This window comes from Homo sapiens, chromosome 1 (assembly GCF_000001405.40).
Source record: "Homo sapiens chromosome 1, GRCh38.p14 Primary Assembly".
Taxonomy (NCBI): domain Eukaryota; kingdom Metazoa; phylum Chordata; class Mammalia; order Primates; family Hominidae; genus Homo; species Homo sapiens.
In genome coordinates, this window is record NC_000001.11 from 42,657,722 (window position 1) to 42,681,989 (window position 24,268).

Genomic DNA, 24,268 nt, shown 5'->3' on the forward strand with positions numbered 1-24,268 from the left:
CAGGTACGTGATAGCCAGATAAATGCACTGTAGGGCTTCGTATGCACGGAATTGGATTTTATTCTAAATATGGGAAGCCAGGAGTTATTTTTAAAATAAATAGGAAGCACAAGAGTTATTTTAAAAATAAAAAATAAAAAACTCTAGTTGCTTTATGGGAAATGAATTGGAAATGACAAAACTGGTAGCTTTTGTGGCAGAACAAACATTATCTATTGTCCTGACTTAGAGGAAGGGATATTTACTTAGCAAGCCTGTACGTGCCAAGCTGTTCTAAACGCTGAGGATGAACAAACCAGAGTTCCTGCCTTCACGGTGTTCACACTAGCGGGCAGAAGACAGACAGCACGTGTGGCGGTGCAGAGGGCTTGGCTGCAAGAGCCGATAAGGAGGACCCTGGCGACTGCCTAGTCCAAAAGTCCTAGCTAGAGCAAGATCAACTTGTACTGCCCTTAGTACAGCCACGTGAGTGGGGTGACCATTGACCTTAACCAAAAAGATGTCAAGGCTTTCCTCCTCCTCACTCCCGCGTCCCCAGTGCCAGGCAGAGTCTCTCAGCTAGACCCTAGCAGTCTCAGCACACACCGCACGGGGCGACAGCTTCCGGGGGCGGAGCCTGGTCTCGCTCCACGTCTACCGCGCCTGCTCCCCGGACGAAATCCGCGGACCGGGCTTTAGGTTCGCCGGAATCCCACGCTCCCGACTTCTGCTTCCGGGTCGGAGCCATGGCGGTGGCAAATTCAAGTCCTGTTAACCCCGTGGTGTTCTTTGATGTCAGTATTGGCGGTCAGGTGAGATCCAGGAGGCTGCCCACACCTGCGCCGAAGGGAAACTGCTCGGGGCTAGGCAGGCAGAACTCACCCAGAGAGAGCGGACTCGGGAAGCCAGCCAGAAAGTGAAATTGCACCCGAACCTACCGACCTGCCGGGCGGGGGGAAAGGAGGAGGAGGAGTCTCCCCAATCCTAGCGCCCCGCTTCTGGAGGAACTGGGCGGTTAGACTAGGGAGGCGGAGGTGGGAGATACCGAGCGGCAGGGTGGTGGGTCAGCCCATCATGCCCCCTGCTCCGTGAAGCCCTCATGGTCTTGGACTGGGCCTTCTGACACTCTCCCGCTGATTGCAGGAAGTTGGCCGCATGAAGATCGAGCTCTTTGCAGACGTTGTGCCTAAGACGGCCGAGAACTTTAGGTAAGGACGTGCTCCAGCTCCGCTGGATTAGCTGAGGCAGAAGTCGGGCTCCAGTCAGCCGCCTGAAATAGCCTGTCTACCTCTGTCCGTCCGCTCACTGCTCTTGAGACCTGATTCCTCCATGCATTGCTCTGTCTGGTTGCCGTTTGGATTGTTCCCGTGTTAATTTACGTTGTTAGTCTGTGTGACTGCGTGTCTGGACGTCTGGCTGGCCGATTGGTGGACTTGCTGGCTCCAGTGTTTATTCTTTCCCGTATTTAGAGGCGCTCACGACTGTGACATCATAGTGATTGAATCATTCATTTTTTGTCCCTTTCAGGCAGTTCTGCACCGGAGAATTCAGGTCAGTTTCAGATGTGTTTGACTTCTTTGCCTGCTCCAGAGGGGTGTTCTGGGGCTGCAGTGAGGGTATCGGTGAACCACCTGCTGGCCTTGAATGATTGCTGGTGACAGTGATAGAAGGTAATGCCCCAAGGGTCTGTCCCTAGTTTATTTGCCTTCTTTATGTCTGTCAACCATCTTTAGGAGAGTCCTTTTGGCTCCAGTGCATGGTAAACTGGAAAGGCCTTGTGCTACCTGCTGTCACTCCAAGTCTCTTTCTTTTCGGTTATAGGAAAGATGGGGTTCCAATAGGATACAAAGGAAGCACCTTCCACAGGTAAGGCTCTTGGCAAGCCATCCTGGAGTCTTTCAGAAATATTTCCTGGGGGATTAGGCTCTTTAGAGGAAAATAAAACCAGAGGGTAATTCTTACATTTCTTGAGAAGAAATGTTTTTGTGGACTCAACAACTGAAGATTTATTAAATGTTCTAACTCTACTTACACTCCCCCACTTCTTAGGTCTTTAAAACAGAAACTACTCATCTTTACAATATCTTGTCTTTTTCATGCACTTGTTTGTGCGAATGCAGATTTTTTAAAAAGTACACTTGTAATCCTAAAGTGCATATAATATATCCTGCTGGTTGATATTTATAACTAATTCCTAAAATGATCATATATGATTGTCCAAGGATAATCATATTTCCTGGGGAGTGGAGTATGTCAACACTTAGTCTCATTTCAATATAGAATCTTTCTCATGGCCTCACTGTGGTTAGTAACAATGTTAGCACATAATTATATCACAGCTTTAGAGCTTTGGGTCTCTAATCCCCAGTAAGACTCCTGTGAAGTGGTATGGGTGATCTGCATTCTACAGAGGAGGAAACTGAGGATAAGAAAGGTTAAGGACCCTCCCTAGGGGTAATAGCTAACAGTTGTTAAGCCCTTACATGTTTAGCAGTACATTTCACATAAATTCTCTGTAGTTCTTTCCCCCAAATTTACATCAAACCCTTGCTCTGCCTTTTGCTTTGGCAAGTAAGCTTTCAGCCCCTTCTTCTTATTACTGTTCAGGTACCAGATCATGCACTTGATCAACTCTAACATGCCCTAATTTATAACGAAAATCCTTTTTTATGGTTAATTATCCTTTCAGCTTAATCATTCAGGAAAAGAATAATCTTCAGGTTTTTTTTGTTTTGTTTTGTTTTTTTGAGACAGAGTCCCACTCTGTCGCCCAGGCTAAAGTGCAGTGGCATGATCTTGGCTCACTGCAACCTCCGCCTCCTGGGTTCAAGCAATTCTTCTGCCTCAGCCTCCCGAGTAGCCAGGACTACAGGCATGTGCCACCACGCTCGGCTAATTTTTGTATTTTTAGTAGAGACGGGGTTTTGCCATGTTGGCCAGGCTGGTCTCAAACTCCTGGCCTCATGTGATCTGCCTGCCTCGGCCTCCCAAACTGCTGGGATTACAGGCGTGAGCTACCGCACCCAGCTAAGAGTAATGATTTTATAATAGCCAAAGTGATAGTGTATTTTGAAATCAACGTTAATCTAATACAATAATAACAACATCTATGTTTTTCTAAACCATAAAATCTTCTCAGTATTCTTTGCTCTCTGTTTCAGGGTCATAAAGGATTTCATGATTCAGGGTGGAGATTTTGTTAATGTAAGTACTATTCCTTTCCTATCAAAGACCCGTAGTTTTAGTTTTTGTTGTTATTGTTGCAATTGCTGTTTTTACTACAGAGACCCAGTCTTCAGGCTTGAGAACAATAGCCAGGTTTGATGTGGGTGTTGGAGAGAATGGTGATGGGGAAGTTCTTGAAAGTGGCTGGGTACGACTGACTGTAGATAACCGACTTTAGCACTTTGATTGAGGCATTAAATTCCATGGTCCAAATCTCAGCCTTTTTGAGCCAGAAATTGGACTTTTTAAGAATACCTATAGATGATCTATGATAGGTTCACACTAATTAGTCATATGAAACTTAGTCAGAAATCAGCTGTGGTTTTTGTTTTTTTCTGAATGGAGGTAAGTCTCCTTCTAGTGGGCTAAATGCTTGTTTCATTTTCTCTTTTACTTCTGGGTGTCACAGTGCCTGGAAAGCTGAGTTTTTCATAAGAAGTTGATTTGTGGGCAAGGAATCAGAGCAAGAGAGGTAGATAGTTCTGGAGGAATTTTGCTCTATTCACTGAGAGAGCCCAGTGAAATAGTTCTTTTTTGCTAACCATAGCTTTCTTGTAAGTAGACTGTTTTTGTCCCCCATATGAAGCCTCCCTCCCCACCCCAACCTTGGAGGGTGTGGGATAAACTACATTTTTTCTTTCTTAAACCTGCTTTTGTCCTTACCCCCCACTTCTGAATGGTCTTTCTTTACTCTTATTAATATCATTTGGTTAGTTGTGTTGCTGTTTTCTTGGATCTGGGAGACATGTGTTCTCTTTTATGTGTTTATTTAGTCTGAATCTCATGAGTTTTTAAGACCTCTTTCCTTTCCTATGCAATACAGGGTTGCAGAGTGGCAGGTTTTAGGCCGAATTACGTTTTTACCTATGTTTTGATTCATCTGCATGGTGTTGTATAACTGTGAAATGGCACAAAAAAATCCTAGTTTTTTTTTCTCTTTAAAAAATGGAAAGTGGAAGTATGCTGGGCCTGCATTTCTCACAGTGGCAGTGACAGTGACAATTGGTTGGAATCAAGGAACTGGTCCCTTTGGACATGGCATATCTTTGCCATTTCACCAGTCTCCACAACTGTTTCCCTTATTTACGTTGCCTGCTCCTGTGGGCATTTGTTTGCAGCCCCGGGAAACAGATAATGGTAGTAGGGTTTGTTAGCTGGTAAGAAGGGCTGAGAAGCTATCCTCTGCCTTCTTTCCTTTTTTTTCCCCTAGGCTTCCCTGTTGCCTTACAAGGAGAGGAATAGCTTTTTACTAGTCTTTGCCCCAGGCACATCTGATCACTTGTCGATAACTCTGGGGTTAGACAATAGTTGCTCAGTCTGAAGGCCGAGTTAAAAGCAATTGCTGGTAGGGCTCACATCTGTAATCCCAGTACCTTGGGATGCTGGGAGGATTGCTTGATCCCAGGAGTTTGAGAACAGCTTGGCAACATAGTAAGACCCTGTCTCTACAAAAATAAGAAAAGTTATTTTTTATTTTTTTATTTTTGGTGGTGTGCGCCTGTAGTCCCAGGTACTTGGTAGGCTGAGGTAGGAGGATCCCTTGAGCCCAGGAGGTCAATTCAAGGCTGCAGTGAGCCATGTTCATACCACTGCACTCCAGCCTGGGCGACAGAGCAAGACCTTGTCTAAAGGGAAAAAAAAAAAGCTTGCTTAGAACCTTCCTTGGGGAAGGCAAAATGGAATGAGCAAGAGTCAGAAAAATCAGAATTTGAGACCTTCCAAAGTTTGACCAAGAATATTTGTTTGTTCATTTATTTTTGGTTTTAATAGTATTTATTATTTTGGTTGCAAAAGAAAAGTGCAAAGAAGAAAATAAATCACCAAATGAATTACCCTCATTCTCACCTCACAATATACTATTGGCATTTTGGTTTACAGTTGTCAGTCTTACCTTAGTATGTATATGTGTGTTTATATAATTTTTAACAGACTTAAAATAATCTATATGTTTTACTTTTTTTGTACTTCATAATTGTCCATATTTTCCCTTGTCGTTATGTCTTCTAAAACATGCTTTCTAATAGCCACCTAATATTTCATTATGAATAGACAAGTTATTTGATCAATTCACTATAGTTGAAGATAAGTTGCTTTCTATTGTTTGCTCCAAATTATTAATTTTGTAATTTTCCCTATTGTTTCTGGAGAGCTATAGATAACGTGATTACGGAGAATGGCACGGTAACTGATGTGTCCCTTAGGTTCACTGGGAAATTGGAGATGAACTTGTTTTCTCTCTTCCTTCTGTATTAATATGTATGTGTAGTTAGTTAATGACATATTAGCTTATTTGATTATTTATATAGTACTATATTGTTTGTACAGTGCTTTTTACAGACACTATCTAATTGAATCTTCATGATAACTGTAAAGAGTAGGTAATTTCATCCTCACTTGATAGATGAGGAAATTGAGGCTCACAGATTGGAAGTGACTTTCCCAGCTCTAAGTGATAGATCTGGAACTCAAATTCAGATCTTTTTTTTTTTTAGATGGAGTCTCGCTCTGTCGCCCAGGCTGGGGTGCAGTGGTGCGATCTTGGCTTACTGCAACCTCCACCTCCCGGGTGGGTTCAAGCGATTCTCGTGCCTCAGCCTCCCGAGTAGCTGGGATTACAGGTACCACCACCACACGTGGCTAATTTTTGTATTTTTAGTAGAGATGGGGTCTCACCATGTTGGCCAGGCTGGTCTCAAACTCCTGACTTCAGGTGATCCACCCGCCTCAGCCTCCCAAAGTGATGGGATTACAGGTGTGAGCCACCACACCAGGCCAGGTCTTTCTAATATACAGACTTGATTTTATTTTATAATATTTAGGCAAACAAAGGTTTGAATTTGGACAGTTTTTCTTTATTCTCTGGCTTATATTAATGGTAGTTCTTTTCCAAAAAGGGACCCTTGATTCCTCACTGGGTCAGTGTTTTCCCTTTCTCCCATGTACTCTTTCTCTTTACTAACTGGCGAGGAGAGCTTGATCTTTTTGGCACTCCTCAATATTGCCTTTAAAACTCAGGGATTCTATTTAAGGCACTGCAAATATGGCCTTGGTCAAATTGTTTTATTACCCAGACTTCAGTTTCCTCACATGAAAAATGGGGAAGATGATAATGCTTATTCCTCAAGGTTGCTGGAAGAGCAAGGAGATAATGCAAATAAAGCTAGTTTAAGCAGAAATTGGGAGTTTATAATAAAGGGAGTGTTTCATGGAACTAAAGGAAGAAATAGAACTAGGAACTAGAACCATAGAGAACCAAGGCAGTTCTTTATCTCCGTTTCTCTAGTGCTCGCTACACATCTGTGTTGTGTTCTCTCTCTGTTCTCTAGCCCAGCTTGCAAATGGTAGTCACATCCAGCTTTCAGGTTTACATGTTACAAATTTAGCCTCAAAGAGAGCATCTATCCCACCTCCAGATTCCCAGAGAAGGAACTCTAGTTGGCCCAGAGTGAGTTAGGCATCCTTCCCTAGATCAATCAACTATGACCAGGAGGGTGGTATCATGTTGTACATACAGACTGCCAAGAGCTCACCCACCCTCTTAGATAGTTTAGGGGAATGGGGTGGTAGTCACTTAAGTGGGTACTTTTATGTGACTGAAGGCATGAGAGTCTTCAGGAATGGCAAGGATTGAGTATGTGATCACCTTGTTGCTGTTCCCTACTTTGTCTGCATCTTAATTGATCGTTCTAGAGGCCCAGCTGTGACCTCTTTTATCCAGTCTATAAAATGCTCCAGCCAGTCTTTGTGGGCTGTAGGTACCTTATATAAGGCTTGATCTGATTGCAGGGTGGGGTCAAATAGGTGCAGCTTCCAAGATGACCAACAAGAGTAAGAGTAGACTTTAAAGATGTCATGCTTTAGGTGCGACAGTGTTCTTCCTCCGGTTTCCAGGGACCCAACACTCCAAGTCACTAATACTTCCCTTCTCTCTGCTCAGGGAGATGGTACTGGAGTCGCCAGTATTTACCGGGGGCCATTTGCAGATGAAAATTTTAAACTTAGACACTCAGCTCCAGGCCTGCTTTCCATGGTAAGTGAGGTCCAATCAAGGTTTTGGGTTATAGCCAGCTGGTTCCTGGGCCCCTCTTGAGGCCCAGTGCTGTCTCTTGGGATGGAAGCAAATGCTTTCCTTCTCTTGCTTGGCCCAGGACTCACCTTTACCACCTCCTTTCTTAGTCTGGTTTGACTGAGAAAACCAGTAGGTATGCTGGCTCACGCCTGTAATCCCAGCACTTTGGGAGGCTGAGGCAGGTGGATAACCTGAGGTCAGCAGTTCGAGACCAGCCTGGCCAACATGGTGAAACCCCATCTCTACTAAAAATACAAAAAATTAGCCAGGTGTGGTGGTGGGTGCCTGTAATCCCATCTACTCGGGAGGCTGAGGCAGGAGAATCGCTTGAACCCAGGACGGGGAAGTTGCAGTGAGCTGAGATTGCCCCACTGCACTCCAGCCTGGGCAACAAGAGCGAAACTCCATCTTAAAACAAAGAAAAGAAAGAAAAGAAAACCAGTAGGTAAGGCCCACTAGCAGGCTAGCAGGCTGGGGAACTAAAATCTGAACCAGGATTTGTGTCTGGGCATTCAGCCCTACTGCTCAGAATGTAAACAGTTGTGCTTTCAAGACATATTCATAGCTGGGTGTGGTGGCTCACACCTGTAATCCCAGCACTTTGGGGAGGCCGAAGCAAGAGGATTGCTTGAGGTTGAGGTCAGGAGTTTGAACAATCTGGGCAACATAGTGAGACTTAGTCTCTACTTAAAAAAGAAAAAAAAAATTAGCCAGGTGTGGTGACACACACCTGTAGTCCCATCTACTAGGGAGGCTGAGGTGGGGAGGATTGCTTGAGCCCAGGAGTTTGAGGCTGCAGTGAGCCATATCCTGTTCATCTCTGTATCCTTGGATCCTAGCTTAGGCCCTGGCTCATAATAGGTGCTAAGTTAGATTTACTGAAAAAAACCATAGAGGAATCAGTGTTACAAGCTCTTTTGGAAATCTTGCCCTTCAGCTAACATGGCCGGGGAAACTTACTGCAGGTATATTTGGTTTCCATCAGGCGAACAGTGGTCCAAGTACAAATGGCTGTCAGTTCTTTATCACCTGCTCTAAGTGCGATTGGCTGGATGGGAAGCATGTGGTGTTTGGTAAGTCCTACTCCTGTCTCATGGTCCAGGCCCCATTCACCCTGGATGGAACCTCCAGAGGAGTTAGTTCTCAAACTCTTACCAAGAAAGCTCAACCTGTGTAACTGCTTAGGTGGTAATAGAGAAAACAGAAATGGTGGGGAGGTGGGGAACATGTGTGGCTAGAGAACTAGAGGGAAGGACAAAAGGACCATTTGATATAGTATGGAACCACTTAGGGAGAAAACCCAGTTGCTAGCACCAAAGAAATGCCATAGAGGCAGCATGATACGGTGAGACTTTGGAGTCACTCAGGTATAAGTTTGAGCCCTAACTCTACTTATTACCTATGACCTTGAGCAAGTCATTTCACCTCTACCGCATCTTAATTTCCTAAAGTTAGTATGAGGGTTTAATGAGAAAATAGCTAAGAATGGGCTTTGGAAGCTGGAAAATGCTATGTAAACAAGAATAAAGTCCAGCTCATGCTCTTCCTACAGGAAAAATCATCGATGGACTTCTAGTGATGAGAAAGATTGAGGTAAGTACTGCTTTGATTTTTCTGTTTCTCTGCCATTGTGGTCTGGTACTGTCTGACTAGCGTGCAGGAGCTAGAGAAGGGGGAATGAGCTCCAGTTTGTTAGGCTGTCTTCATTGCCCCAGGAAAAGGGAAGAGAACCACCTAAGTTAGCCTGTCTGGCCAACACTGAGGTTTGGCCTCTGATGATCCTGTTGCCTACTTGATAAAATTCTACTCCTCAGCATTGCGTTCAAGGTCCTTCATGATTAGTCCCTGTCTACCTCTCCATGGCCCCTTCTTCTGCCATTGCCTCTTCCATGTTCCAGTCACATCAGGCTACTAGCTCTTCTCTAAATCTGCCATGCATGTCCCTGCTGCTTGCTCTTTCCTGCCCCTGAGCCTTTGCTCACACAGTTTCCTCTAGCCGGAATGCTCTTCTTTCCTTCCCTCCTGATGGAATCCCATTCATCCTTCTAGGCACAGTTCAAATACCCCTCTTTTGTGAATCCTTCCCTGACCTCTTTAAGCCCCAATTTAGTTGCCTATCTAACCCTTATCCAATTCTCTCTTATAACTTTTTCTTATATAATCATAAGTTTGATATTTTCTAAGTGTTTTGCATTTTCTCTTTGATAGGTATTATATGCTTTACCTGTCTGCCAGGACATGGACTGTTTCTGAGTGCTGAGTCCTTAGCACAGGGCTGGCAGGCATCAGTAAAAGTTTGATAAGGGAACGAGGAAGTGCCTGAGTGGATGAATCTCCATTGTGCTTTTTTTCCTAGAATGTTCCCACAGGCCCCAACAATAAGCCCAAGCTACCTGTGGTGATCTCGCAGTGTGGGGAGATGTAGTCCAGACAAAGACTGAATCAGGTAAGTGTGTCTTTCTCCTATTAGGTTAGGAATCAGACCTCAGAGAAGGCAGCATGGTCTAGTGGAAAGAACTTTAGTCTTGAAGACATGAGATTGAGCCCAGTTCCTCCGTGTATGGCCTTGGAGTAGTCACTTTCCTTCTCTGAGCACATTTCCTCATCTGTCAAATGGAAATACTGTAATACCTATCTCTCAGAGTCACTGTAAAAATAAAAAGAGAAAGGGTTGTAGGAGCACTTTACTTTTCTATCACTTTGTAATGTACAAAGTATCAATGTGAAAACTACTCAGGCAGTTTGTAACAGCACTCTCAGACTACAGTTCCATTCAGTAGTCCCCCTAGAAAGACCTGGCTCCAGGCCTGAGTAACTCTCTGCTGGGACCAGGCCAGGCAGCCAGGAGACACACCTGTCATGCCTCTCATCAGAACTGATACTGCAATTCCAGGCCTCGACTTCATATTCGCTGGCCTCATAGGTGAATGCCTTGCATCTTCCAGCCTACATGGACTCATTTCTTACCCGTAATTACCACTGCCTGCTCTGCGCTGGGCAGCATGCTAGCTGCAGAGAGGGGGACAAAGAATTGAAAGATGTCTCCTTTCAGGAGCTCATGGAAAGTAAGACATTCCCAGAGGTGATCACTAGTAATATGAGTGACATTGCCAAGTATGAGAAGAGTACAAGGGAGAAATCCATCACTTCCAGCCAGGTGAGGGGTAGTGATGTTTTGTTTTTCTTTTTTTTTTATTTTCAAACCTGCAAAAAAGTTAGAAGATAATACCTTGAACACCAATATATCTTCACTTAGATTCACCAATGATTAACATTCTTGTTTTATTGCTTTGCCTTGACATTTGTTTTTTTCTTTCCCTTCTTGCCTCCTCACCCATTTCCATTGCCTCTCCTCCTCCCTCCTGCTCCTCTTCCCTCCCTCCATCCTTTCCTTCCTTTCTTCCCATCTTCCTTCCTTTACCCTTTCTTCTTCTCTTTCCCATTTGAAAGTTGCAGACTTCTTGACACTTTACCCCTAAGTATTTCAGCAAGGAACTCCTAAAAATAAGAACATCCTACGTAACCACAATATTATCTAATATATAGTACATTTTCAAACCTCCCCAATTGTCCCAAAAGTAACTTTTGTAGCTTAAAAAAAGGTGATCCAATCAAGGTTCCCATATTTCATTTCATTTGGTTTACACAAGTAACATAATACACTCTCATTGTGAAAACTTTCACACCAAACAGATAAAGTGAAAGCCCCTCTTGACAATACCCACCTGCAATTCCACTCCCCTTTCCAAAGGTCACTTCCTTATTAGTTTGATGTATGTCCATCAGGGCCTTTGCCTTGCCCATCTAATTTTGGGAGGTTTTCTTTTTCCCAAATGAAATCATACTATATTTTTCATGTTCTAAAAAATATGTCTTGAAAACTTTTCCTTCTTAGTTCATGTAAAACCACCTTGTATTAAAAAATGAAAACAGCCCGGCAGGAGGTGGCTCACTCCTGTAATCCCAGCACTTTGGGAGGCCAAGGAGGGCAGATAGCTTGAGCTCAGGAGTTCGAGACCAGCCTGGGCAACCTGGTGAGATCCCGTCTTTCCAAAAAAAAAAAAAATTAGCCAGGTGTGGTGGTGCATGCCTGTAGTCCCAGCTACTCAGGAGGCTGAGGTGGGAGGATTACTTGAGCCCAGGAGTTTGAGGCTGCAGTGAGCTATAATCACACCACTGTACTCCAGCCTGGATGACATCAAAAAAAAAAAAAAAAGGAAAAGAAAAACCGAAACTGCAGTGCAGGCTGAGCATCCCTAATCCGAAATCCCAAATGCTCCAAAATATGAAGCTTTTTGAGCACTAACATGACATTAGAAGTGGAAAATTCCACACCTGACTTCATGTGATGGATCATAGTCAAAAATCTGTTTCATGCACAAACGTATTAAAAATATTGTATAAGATTACCTTATACAATAGCTATAAGTAGCTAGGACTACAGGTGCATGCCACCACGCCCAGCTAATTTTTATATTTCTTGGTAGAGATGGGGTTTCATCATGTTGGCCAGGCTGGTCCCCACCTCAAGTGGTCTGCCCACCTTGGCCTCCTAAAGTGCTAGGATTACAGGCGTGAGCCACTGCCCCCAACTGAGCATTAGTTCTTAATTTTATATGTTGTAATTGTTTTCTTCAGAATATATTTTAAGAAAAAAATTAGTATTGTGTTGCTTAAGTTTGGTGATATTCTTTGTTAAAGAGAAGTTCTAAATTTTGATGAAGTCCAAATTATCAGTCTTTCACTGCTTTTCAGTTTTGTCTCATTTAAGGTCTTTACTACCTCAGATCACAATGTTTTCTGTGTTTTTTCTAGTATTTCTTTTTATATGGTGGAGCTAAGATCATTTTTCTAGTATTTTTAAAGTCTTATTTGTACATTTATAAAATCATCTATAATTAATTTTTCTGTATAGTGTTAAGATAGGACTTTTTCTTGTCTTTTTTTCCAAATGGAGATCCAGTCAAATACCTGACCATTTTAATGACTCTACAACACACCTTTATCTGTGACCAACTCTGTTCAGAAAGCTGGCACTTACAGGCATTCAGTAAAAATTTATTACATGAGTTAAGTAGAGAGGGAGAATGTCAGGCATTTTAGGCGGGGAACTCGTGTGAGCAAATGCTGAGGCTGGAATGCACAAGTGTGTGCTGAGAGCTACATGTGGACCTCTCTTGTTCAGCCAGATGATCCCTTCTCAGGCCCACTTGACACCCTGAGCTTTCCTTTCTGCCAATACTGGGTCCCCCTTGGGCCCAGCCTGCTCTCCCTCTTCAATGGCTGCTGGCCATTCCCTCCGTCTCCTACTCATTTCTTTGCTGTAACTAAAGTTGAGTTCATAGGTCCTTTCTTTTCAAAGACTGACCACTGATCACTACCAGAGGACAAACGATAACAAAAAGAATAAAGTTTAGAAATTCTTAATGTTGGGGCCTCTTTTCTGTATCTTTTTGAGTCTTTTACATAAAGTTACTGGAAGTCCTTGTTGAGGTTTTATTTCTGAGGGTGGGGATCATCAACCCTCCCCGCTCTCCCCCACTGTTAGCAAAAGTTATATGAACTTTTGCTTCCAAGAAAGCCCTTCTTCTCAGCCTGCAACCCAAGCAGAACGCATTCCTCAGGTGGCCATTGTACATTCCACAGGCCCGCTAGACCAGGACTGTCCATAGGCTGTGATGATGGAAAGATTCTAGATCTGGGAGGTCCAGTATGGTTGCTACCAGCCCCATGTGACAACGGAACACTTAAAATGTGGCTGGTGCAACTGAGGGACTAAACTGTTAACTTTTTATTTTTTATTTATTTTTTATTTTTTTGAGATGGAGTCTCGCTCTGTCGCCCAGGCTGGAGCACAGTGGCGCCGTCTTGGCTCACTGCAACCTCTACCTCCCGGGTTCAAGCAATTCTCCTGCCTCAGCCTCCTGAGTAGCTGGGATTACAGGCGCACGCTGCCATGCCTGGCTATTTTTTGTATTTTTAGTAGAGACGGGGTTTCATCGTGTTAGCCATGCTGGTCTTGAACTCCTAAGCTCAGGTAATCTGCTCATCTTGGCCTCCCAAAGTGCTGGGATTATAGGCGTGAGCAAACATTCCCAGCCTATTTTTTTTTTATTGACAGAACTAAGCTGTAGTTTATTAAATTTAAATTAGGCTGGATGTGGTGGCTCACACCTGTAATCCCAGCACTTTGGGAGGCCGAAGCAGGTGGATCGCTTGAGGCCAGGAGTTTGAGACCAGCCTTGCCGACATGGTAAAACCCATCTCTACTAAAATTACAAAAATTAGCCGGGCGTGATGACACACGCCTGTAATCCCAGCTACTCCAGAGACAAAGGCACGAGAATCTCTTGAACCCGAGAGGCAGAGGTTTCAGTGAGCCAAGATTGTGCCATTGCACTCTAGCCTGGGCGACAGAGCGAGACCCTGTCTCAAAAATAAATAAGTAAATAAAAAAATAATAAATGTAAAGAGCCAGTTGTAGCTAGTGGCTACTGTACTGGACAGTGAACTCTTTTAAATGTAAGCTTCTCAATCTACTCGCCCTGGCTTGCTTAGAACTGAATCTCGTAGCTAATACTTAAGGGCACTATAATTAAAGCAGTTATCCTTCAATGAATTCTTCCTGTGCCCGGATAATGAGCTAAGAACTTTACTTGAATTATCGCATTTCACTTTACCAAAAATCCCTCATAGGTTTTAAGGTGTTAGGAAATCTGGGTGGCAGTCTAATGTAAAGGGGTTCTACAGATGGGCACCCCATTTTGGGTTTCTGAATAATGTGATTTAAGAAAAATTAATGAAAGAGGAGATGAATTTCCCATGGAGCAGGGGTGTGGAGGGAAGGGAAGTGGTATTTTTAAGCCCTATTGGGCAGTATTTCTTTCTTTCTTTTTTTTTTTTTTTCGAGACGGAGTCTTGCTCTGTCGCCCAGGCTAGAGTGCAGTGGCGCGATCTCGGCTCACTGCAGACTCTGCCTCCCAGGTTCAAGCAATTCTCCTGCCTCAGCCTCCCGAGTAGCTGGGATTACAGGTGCCCACCACCGCACCCAGCTAATTTTTGTATTTTTTAGTAGAGACAGGGTTTCACCATCTTGGCCAGGCTGGTCTCAAACTCCTGACCTCATGATCCATCCGCCTCGGACTCCCAAAGTGCTGGGATTACAGGCATAAGCCACCATGCCTGGCCGGGCAGTATTTCTTATACTTTAACGTTCATACGGATCTCCAGGAGATTTGTTATAAAATAGTGGTTCTGACTCAGTGGGTTTGGATGGGGACTGAGATTTTGCATTTCTAATCAGCTCTCAGGTGATGCTGATGCAGACTGTGAGGCAAGTCAATAGGGGATAAGAGTCTATCTTTTAATTGAGAACTTGCCATATTCCAAAAAAAAAAAGACCAAGAGGAAGTACTCTCTTGGTGGCACTAGTCCAGCAGGAATCCATTGCATTCACATCAAGGTATCACCTAATCCTGCATTTGAGGCCTTGTGCCCAGGCACTGGACATATGCAGTGAAACAGCTAAGAAGGAGATAGAAGACGGGTCACTTGATCAATTCTACCTCCCTATGGAGCACTTCTTTCCAGAACCTTTGTGTTTTGCCTTCCTAGGTTCTGACTTTGGTTTTAGTGAAAATGAAGTTTTGTGTACAATTTTTTTTTTTTTTAAGACAGAATCTCACTCCGTTGCCCAGGCTGGAGTGCAGTGGCACGATCTCAGCTCACTGCAACCTCCGCCTCCCAGGTTCAAGCGATTCTCATGCCTCAGCCTCCCGAATAGCAGGGATCACAGGCATGCTCCACCACGTCTGGCTAATTTTTTTGTATTTTTAGTAGAGACAGGGTTTCACCAAGTTAGCCAGGCTCGTCTCAAACTCCTGATCTCATGTGATCTGCCCGCCTTGACTTCCCAAAGTACTGGGATTACAGGCGTGAGCCACCATGCCTGGTCTGTACAACTTTAGTTATAGAAACCTTGGTTTTATCTCAGTGAGTTCTGGGAGAGTTTTTTTTTTTAGACAGGGTCTTACTCTGTCACCCAGGCTGGAGTGCAGTGGCGCAGTCACAGCTCACTGCAGCCTCGACCTCCCTGGCTCAAGTGTTCCTCCCACCTCAGCCTCCTTAGTAGGTGGGATTATAGGCGTGCAGCACCACACCCAGCTAACTTTTTAGAGATGGGGTTTCACCATGTTGTCCAGGCCGGTCTCAAACTCCTGGCTTCAAGCGATCTTCCCACCTCAGCCTCCCAAAGTGCTGGAATTACAGGCATGAACCACCGTGCCCAGCCCTTGGAAAACTTTTTATGATGAATTTGGTTATGTATAGCATAAATGAACCTCTACACTCAGGATTCTCCTGCTGTAGTCTGAATGGGTTGTTTGCTACTTACATGGACATGGGAGAGGGTGGCACCTCTCTTTTGAAAGCCCGAGTTCTGGCAGCTCTGCTAGTCTGATATGCTTACCCTCTTCCCTGTGATCCTCAAACCTGGTACCAGTACCAAATGGTAGAGAGCTTTCCTTAATTCATTGTTGCCTAGATTCTCCAACAGGTAATAATCATTTTGGGGCACTCGTTAAACCTACGAATTCCTAGATCCCTTCCCTGGAGTATTTGATTGAGTGGCTTTGGGGTGGGACCAGGATGTTATGTTTGTAACAAGTATCTCACATGCTTCTTAATAGAGAAGTGTGGGAAACACTACTTTAGTTAGTGGTGGGATGACTGTCTTTTATTTTAATATTTGGATCTTAGGAAAAAATACGGAATTAGCACAATACATCATTTTACAGTTATTACAGCTTATAGTGAGGCAATATTGAAGTTCAAATAGTGATTAGCTTAAAAAATAAATTGTACCTGTGGATGATAGATATTGTAACAGTTGTGAAGATGCTATTTGAATGACTAAGGTTTAGGAAACACTGTGTTTCATTCTAGAATTACCTATAGATGCGAGACATTCCCGTAGGGGAAGATTAGGAAATATGTGTTGGTGGCAGTTGGGCTGGTCCTCTATTCATTCCACAACTAAGCGCTGATGAATTAAGATAGTTCCCATGCTGCATATGAGGCTACAGATTTGAAAAGTCAGTTCCATCCTTCAAGGAACTCAGTCTCTTGGGAGAACTGACAATTACAGTACAATAAAGCCCTGTATTGGAGGTTTTAGAACAAGGTGAGGAAAGCATAAATGCCCGGATCTTCCCAGAGTGGTTGAGTAGACTACAGAAGAGATGATGCTTCAGTTTAGTACAAGAAAGAATATAACTTGTCAGGTGGCTAAAACTGGGCAGGGCATTCCAGGCAGAGGGAACAGCCTATGCAAAGTCACAAAGGCAGGAAACAGCAGGAAGTGTAGAGGAAGCTGCAAATAATTCAATATGACTGAAGCAGGAAGATATGAAAAGCAAATGGTGAGAAGGTTGGAGAGAGGCCAGGGCCAGTAGTGAAAGCCAGTGCCAAGTTTAGCAGTTCATATGTTATTCTGAGGGCAGAGGCTGACTTTCAGGCATGAAGTAATTTTTCCCTTTTGGGGAAGGAGTCCACTGTGCTCCTGAGATTCTCAAAAGGGGCACTGACCCTCCAAAAAAGAATCAGGCCAATATGAACCACTTAAGGATTTTCAGCAGAATACTGTAGATGAATTTTCATGTTCAGAAGATGATTCTAGCAGCATTGTGGAGGATGGGCTGGAGGCCAGTGAGGAGTCTACTGCAGTAGTAGTCCAGGCAAGAGAAAAGAGGTTTTACATGAAAATATGGGTCTGGGGAACACTGGAGATTTGGCAGCAAATATTTATGTGCCTGCTGGGCATGTGACACTGTATGTTCCCTGTCCTGAAACTCAGAAGCTCTGCCAGCTGAAAAGGCCAGGAGTGGAGAGAATGTCTGGCTCCAGTCCATTCCAGTCCAGTACAAAGGCAAAGCTGCTTGCATTGCAGCCAAGTCTTACACACGTAGAGGTTCCATTCTCTTCAGTGGAATACTATACAGCCTTAACAAAATAAAGAGGTAGATCTGGATGTGTTGGCAAGATTTCTAAGGTAAGTTAAGTGACAGTCAAGATGTAGTAATTTATGTAAGCATGTTACTGTTTATTTTGAATGACTTTCAGGAATCTCTGCAGTGATATATAGCAGACTGTGGATAATACTTCTGCAGAGTAGAGATAGCAAAGAGACTTTTCAGTTGCCTTATTTAAGCTTGAATTTTCTACCTTGAACATGTATCTTGTAATAGAAATACATACTGTTTATATGTAGTGTTAACTAATCCTAAATCCTCCCAGCACTTCCCAGGAGCCTGCCCACAGCTGTGGCTAACATCAGGTGTGAATCCATTGCTGATCCCTCCACCTCCTCTTCCAGGTCTAAGCCCAGACAGTGGGTGCTCCCACAGCACTTGGTTCATCTCTCCACTGTGGCATTTAATATACTGTATCACAAATATGTAAGTCTGTTTTTCTCTGGACTGAGAACTTGTTGAAGCAAGGATCATGCTGACTAACATAGTGCCTGGTATGACAGAGCTTAGGTCCTGGCACACCATGCAGCTTACAAAGTACATTTATACATTTTCATACACTTTGCTTGAGGGCCCACAGTTAAACTTCAGTCTGTGCCTGCAGTACGATGCCAGTACCCATTGTCCACTGGAGCAAGGTGTGGCATGTTTGAGGAATGGCAAGAGGAGGGGGACAATAGTATCTGGGTGTACTTACTCTGTTCTCTTAGTATAGCTTGCTCGACTTCAAGGCCATAAACCCAGAGTGTGGACTTCCCTTTCTCTTTACCTCTGGGACCGAAACCTGCAAGGAAGAAGGATTGCTTTTTGTTCTGGACCTCCACAGAGAGCCATCAGAGTCTGACAAAAAGGACAAAGGCTTTGGAGCCAAGTAGACCAGGAAGTCTCATCACTGTCTAATTCTGTGACTTCAGTCAAGCCATGAAACCCCTTGGGACCCTACTCCTTTGCATAATTAGATAATATATAATGCATGGAGTTGTGAAGGGCAAATAAATGAGATAGTATGCTTGACCATAAATGTTAGTTGCTTTCTTCCTGGTTCTTTTGTAATTTACTGCCCAACTTTGCTCTGGGGACCTAAAGGTCTGACCTATGGTGAGAATCTGACCTGTTCTACCCTTTTGGGAAAAGAGGATTAGGAGTGTAGAGAATAGCTGGGAGTGGCCGGGCACGGTGGCTCATCCCTGTAATCCCAGCACTTTGGGAGGCTGAGGCAGGGAGATCACAAGGTCGGGAGTTCAAGACCAGCCTGGTCAATATGGTGAGACCCCATCTCTACTAAAAATACAAAAATTGGCTGGGTGTGGTGGCAGGCGCCTGTATTCCCAGCTACTCAGGAGGTTGAAGCAGGAGAATTGCTTGAACCCGGGAGGCGGAGGTGGCAGTGAGCCGAGATCGCGCCACTGTACTCCAGCCTGGGCAACAGAATGGGACTCTGTCTCAAAAAAAAAAAAGAGAATAGCTGGGAGCATTGTCTCATATGGGATGTCCCCTTCCAGTTCCTCTGAGGTGCTTACCTCCCCATCCCACACTGACCTCCATGTCTCTGCCATTGTAGGCCTTCCCTTCTTCTTGGTGGTGTTCTTGAGTAAGATAATCTGGACTGGCCCCCGTCTTTGCTTCCCTGCCTGCTGCTGCCCCATTTGATCAAGAGACCATGGAAGTGTCAGAGATTCAGAATCCAAGATTGTCTTTAAGTTTTCAACTGTAAATAAAGTTTTTTTGTATGCGTATGTTTTTTTTTTCTTTTGGTTTTGTTTGTTTGTGGGTTGTTTTTAAATAGTTGTAATAGCCCTGTCTCCTCACACCTCAGCTTTAGCTAGGAGGACTGGCACTCCTCAGAGGCCAGCATGGACCAGAGCCAAGCTTTTGCTGTGTATAGTTAATGCCTCTTGACTTGCAGGCAGTTGTAGCAAACCTAACTCTCTTAGGTTAAAGCTGATGGACAAAGAAGGCACAGCCCCAGGACTTTACAGCTCTACTTATTCCAAGGATGTTCCCAGAAGGATCAATTTGGTTAGTTCTGGATTGAGCCCGTGAGGAAAGGGTCACTAACTTGACCTATCTACTTACCTCAGAGCATCCTTGAAAGAGTCAAATAAGAGAGTGGATATGAAGGTAATTTGTAGTAAACAGCAACAATACCTTAGAAAATGTTAGTTTTGGGACCGGGTGCCGTGGCTCACACCTGTAATCCCAGCACTTGGGGAGGCCAAGGTGGACAGATCACTTGAGGCCAGGAGTTCAAGACCAGCCTGGCCAAGATGGTGAAACCCCATCCCTACTAAAAATAAATTAGCTGGGCTTGGGGCACGTACCTGTAATCCCAGCCACCCATCTGGTGGCTGAGGCACAAGAATCGCTTGAACCTGGGAGGTGGAGGTTGCAGTGAGCCGAGATCGCGCCACTGCACTCCAGCCTGGGTGACAGAGTGAGACTGTCTCAAAAAAAGAAAATGTTAGTTTTGAAAGGAAACAGTTCAACATATAAAGATCTCACTTAGCTGGGTGCTGTAGCTCCTGCCTATAATCACAGCTACTCAGAAGCCTGAGGTGGGAGAATCACTTCAGCGTGCAGAAGTTCAAGACCTGCCTGGGCAACATACCAAGACCTTGTCTGTACACAACAAACAAACAACAGCAACAAAAAAATTAGCTGAGTATGGTGGCACATACCTGTAGTCCTAACTGCTCAGGAGGCTGAGGCAGGAGGATGCTTGAGCCTAGGAGTTTGGTGTTGCAGTGAGTTATGATCGTGCCACTACACTCCAGCCTGAGTGACAGAGTGAGACCCCATCTATTTTGAAGAGGCAAAGAAGAAAGTTCCCTGATGTTTCTTTCATGAGGCACTTTCTGTTTGCTCTCATTCTTATTTGCTTTCTTCTGTCTTGTGGATGGGGATGCCTCTTAACTACTGGCAGCAAGATACTGCAAGAGCAAAGGTAGCAAACAGCTGAATTCTATGACAATAGAACTTGGTTAAAAGTGTTGTTTCAGTGTATCAGATGACAAGAGATGGTGATAAGGGCCCTACAGTACAGACATTTGCAACTCTAGCCAAGGAAACATACTTCAGAGGACATTGTAGAGAAAGGACTGTCATCTAGTGGAGGAGAGATTTTTAAGTAACTATATAGGGTGGGATTGTAAAGAGATGGGGAGGATGAACAGCTGTGATCCGGAGTTGACATTCTTGAGATGGGCTGGTCAGCTGCACTCTGTTACATCTGGCACCTACATTCTATGCCAGTCTCTGTCCTAGGCCCTGGAGCTAGGTAAGATGTGGCTCATGCTTGTGATAGGAGACAGGGACAGTTTCAATGCATGGTGGTATTAGAATGTGAGCCCGTGTGAGGGCAGGGCAGGATATTTGGGTTTTTTGTTTTTCGTTTTGAGACGGAATCTCACTCTGTCGCCCAGGCTGCAGTGCAATGGCGCGATCTTGGCTCACTACAACCTCCACCTCCCAGGTTCAAGCGATTCTCCTGCTTCAGCCTCTCGAGTAGCTGGGACTACAGGCACATGCCACCGTGCCCGTCTAATTTTTTGTATTTTTAGTAGAGACGGGGTTTCACTGTGTTAGCCAGGATGGTCTCGATATCCTGACCTCATGATCTGCCCACCTCGGCCTCCCAAAGTGTTGGGATTACAGGCGTGAGCCACCACGCCTCGCCGATCTTTTTGCTTTGTTTTGTTTTTAGCTGCTGTGTCCCCAACACCTGGAAGAACTGAGCTTCTGGAATCTAATAGATGCTAAATAAATATTTGTTGCATGAATGATAGTGGTATGAGAGGAAGAGGGAAAAAAAACGGAAAAAGGCTTCTTGGAAGAGGTGACACTTGAGGTAAGTATTGACAGGCTTTAATATGCCAGATCAACAAGGTGGCGAGGGCTTTCTAGGAAGAGGGAACTGTGTTCTTAGGCCACAGTCTATTAGAGATGGGGGGACAAGGTAAAAGTTATTTTGCAGAGAAGATTCTTGGGATGAATCCCTTGCCCATCACATCACTTAAAGGCAGGCACTGGAGTTGTCTGTACTGTGCTCACCACGGACAGCTGGATGGTGTGAGCTCCCAGGATGGCAGGGAGACTAGTAAAGCTCTGCAGTGGTGCTCTCCCACTTTGGAACAGTCATGAACTATTGGTGCTTGTAGAGAGGTGGCTACAAGAAAATTATTTTTTGAGACATAGTTTCAGTCTGTCACCCAGGCTGGAGTGCAGTGGCACAATCTCAGCTCACTGTAACCTCCGCCTCCCGGGTTCAAGCGATTCTCCCTCCTCAAACTCCCGAGTAGCTGGGATTACAGGCACATGCCACCATGCCCAGATCATTTTTGTATTTTTAGTAGAGATGGGGTTTTGCCACGTTGGCCGGGCTGGTCTCGAACTCCTGACTTCAAGTGATCCGCCTGCCTCGGCCTCCCAAAGTGCTGAGGCATGAGCCACCGTGCCTGGCTGCAAACTAGTTTCTTAAACAGCTTATCCTCAGGCTCACTGAGCACGAAGAGAGCTGAATGAAGTAACTGGATGAGTAAGTAATGATACTTTTTAAAGTAACATTGAAAAGACAGATGTTACACAATTTGTATTTTTGCTTGAGAAGCCATCCCTTCAAAGCAGTTACATAGTGAGGCTGTTCACTTATTCGTAGAGGTGCTGCTGCAATATTTTCTAAGTGTCTTTGTAACTGGAGAAAAGCTCTCAAGCCTATAGGGCATGCTTTTAAATGTCCTCAGTGTTGGCAGGACTGCCTTTTGGGGAAACATTTTAACATTCAAGTCATCTGGAGCTGGAACACATGAACAACAGCTGTGGAATCCACCCACTCTCCATACACATTGCTGCTGAAAGCCTTTTTCACCTGGATTACTGGCACAGCTGCCCAGATGACCCTTCTGCTGCCAGTACCTTTTTCAATTCATGTTCTACACCATGTCGCTCATTTAACGAATCTTTTAAGGTATTATGTGTCAGGCACTAAGATGCCCAAGGAAGTCACAGTCTGGTGGGGAACATTTAATTAGAGCAATACAGTGTGTTAAGATGGGAGGGATTCTTAACCTAGTAGCATCTGAGCCAAGACCTAGAGGATGAAGAATTAAGCAGGCAAAGAGGAAGGAGGAAAGGAAGAGTGTTGTATGTAGAATTTTATGTAATACTCCAAACGTAACAGTGGCTAAAGGACTCCACTAGATGACAGTCCTTTCTCTACGATGTCCTCTGAAGCATGTTTACTTGGCTGGAGAGTTGCAAGTGTCTATTCTGTAGGGCCCTTGTAATATTTCACCATCTCCCTTGTCATCTGATACACTGAAGCAACACTTTTAACCAATTTCTATTTTCATAGAATTCAGCTGTTTGCTACCTCTGCTCCTGCAGTATCCTGCAGCCAGTAGTTACAAGCACCTGGAAGGTTGGACAGGGAATACAAGAGAAGACTCTAAGACTTCTCTTAGAAGTCATAGAGTCCAGTAAACCACATTATGGAATCTGGACTACCCTAAGGGTAATAGTAGTCACTGGAAGATTTTAAGTAAGACAGTGTCATGATCAGATAGATGTTCTCAAAAGAACTTTCTGGCTGTTGTGGTGGGTAATATTAGAGTAAGAAAGAGGTAGAGAGGTGTGGTTAGTAGCCAACAGCACTGCTCTATGCTAGGGGTCAGCCGACTACACTCCGTTTTTCTGTGGCTCATGAGCTAAGAATACAAATGGTTTTTAAAATGTTTAAATAGTTGAAAATATGTAAAGATTCGTGTCATGTAAAAATTAAGGCTGTTTTCAAGCTCCAAACCTGAGTAGTAAGTCAGAACCATATGGTCGGCCAAGCTTATATTATTAACTATTTGGCTCTCACAGAAAAAGGTTCCTACCCCTTGCTCTAAGCAATTGGTGATGATGGCCTACAGTAGTGACAGTAGGAATGAAAAGACTCTGAATTGACATTTAGAGGGTTTAGGACTGACTCAAGAACGCCTTTAGGAGGTGGAACTCACAGGCCTAGACGGCATTGGTAGGGGTAAGGAATACTGCATTAGCCTCCTAACTGCTTTCTCTACTTCCATTCCTTGCCCCTCTGCAACCCATTCTCCACTCCGCAGCCATTTTTAAAAAGATGCCCCTCCCTACTTATGACTCTAAAATTGCTCTTCTCACTCTTCCCCTCAGGATATATTTCCAATTAAATATACCTAAGTGACTGCCCACCTCTGCAACCCAATGTCACATTCGAGTCTTACTGAACTACTTGACTGCATTTCCCGAGATCTCACCTCTTCTCGCCTGTACCCTGTGCGCGGAAAGTCAGCCCTCCACCTTCTCCCTGCTTCCACTCCCAAAATACTTCGTGGTTTTGCAGCTCTGGAGTATTTACCGTGTTGGCTGTTTAAATTTCTGCCTCCATCAGAAGGCAGAAACTGACTCGCGAACTATTCCATCCCCAGCCGATAGTAGACGCTTAAAAAAGAACGAAAGAAGGTGGGTGGAGGACTTCAGTAACATCAGGTGGCAGCCTCAATTTTATCGTTTGTGAAACGTGGATAGTAATCCCTCTATCACGTGGCTGTTGCAGGAATAAAGTGAAAAAACAAAACAGGCTAGCTTGTTCAATAAATGTGAGTTGAATTAAATCTGATTTGTGGTCAGTAGAAAAAGATGTGAATACTTGGAAAGGAAGACACATTTTTTTAAATATATGCCTGGTAAAACGGATCAGAAGGCAGGTCCCCATGGAGCACACCCTCGCCCTAAACATGCTGAACCCGGGCTGCCATAGCCTGCGTGGTCCCTCCAAGGTGACTGCTCCGACAAAAGGGTACGCTCTTCAAACGCATACGTTTAAGGCAATTCCAGAAACCCTCGGCTGTGCCGCGACTACACGGCCATTAAAGAAAAGACGACTCTATGCCCGCCGTAATGTTCTCAGATCACAGGGACCGTATTTGGAGCTGGGAGGGAGGGAAGC

General features: G+C 44.4%; 1 protein-coding gene and 1 long non-coding RNA gene across 14 annotated transcripts in view; one reads left to right on the forward strand and one right to left on the reverse strand.

The window, feature by feature from the left end:
• The window catches only part of LOC124904162 (uncharacterized), a 104,986-nt gene extending 86,901 nt beyond the window's left edge, over positions 1-18,085 (reverse strand). Inside the window, exons 1-2 of one of the 2 annotated variants that reach the window (XR_007066033.1) lie at positions 17,999-18,085; positions 43-1,905 (exon numbers count right to left, since the gene is read on the reverse strand). This is a non-coding gene — a long non-coding RNA (uncharacterized LOC124904162). Of the gene's footprint in view, positions 1-42; positions 1,906-17,998 lie in introns of those variants that run through there. The other variant, XR_007066034.1, reaches the window with a different exon arrangement.
• On the forward strand, positions 702-23,933 carry PPIH (peptidylprolyl isomerase H). Of its 12 annotated transcripts, XR_007063970.1 has the most exons (12): positions 702-791; positions 1,123-1,187; positions 1,507-1,530; positions 1,801-1,845; positions 3,141-3,183; positions 7,142-7,234; positions 8,259-8,346; positions 8,826-8,866; positions 9,630-9,719; positions 10,326-10,430; positions 17,567-17,606; positions 18,863-19,037. XR_007063970.1 is itself a non-coding variant. In XM_047430866.1 (10 exons), the coding sequence occupies exons 1-9, from the start codon at positions 726-728 to the stop codon at positions 9,696-9,698; spliced, it is 534 nt and encodes a 177-aa protein (XP_047286822.1). In that variant the 5' UTR covers positions 702-725; the 3' UTR covers positions 9,699-9,719; positions 21,005-23,933. The 12 variants fall into 12 exon arrangements, 4 of the variants coding, with proteins under 4 accessions (XP_047286822.1, NP_001317439.1, XP_005270419.1 ...); XR_946525.1 differs by lacking the exons at positions 10,326-10,430; positions 17,567-17,606; positions 18,863-19,037 and adding exons at positions 21,005-21,148; positions 23,473-23,933; XR_001736914.1 differs by lacking the exon at positions 17,567-17,606.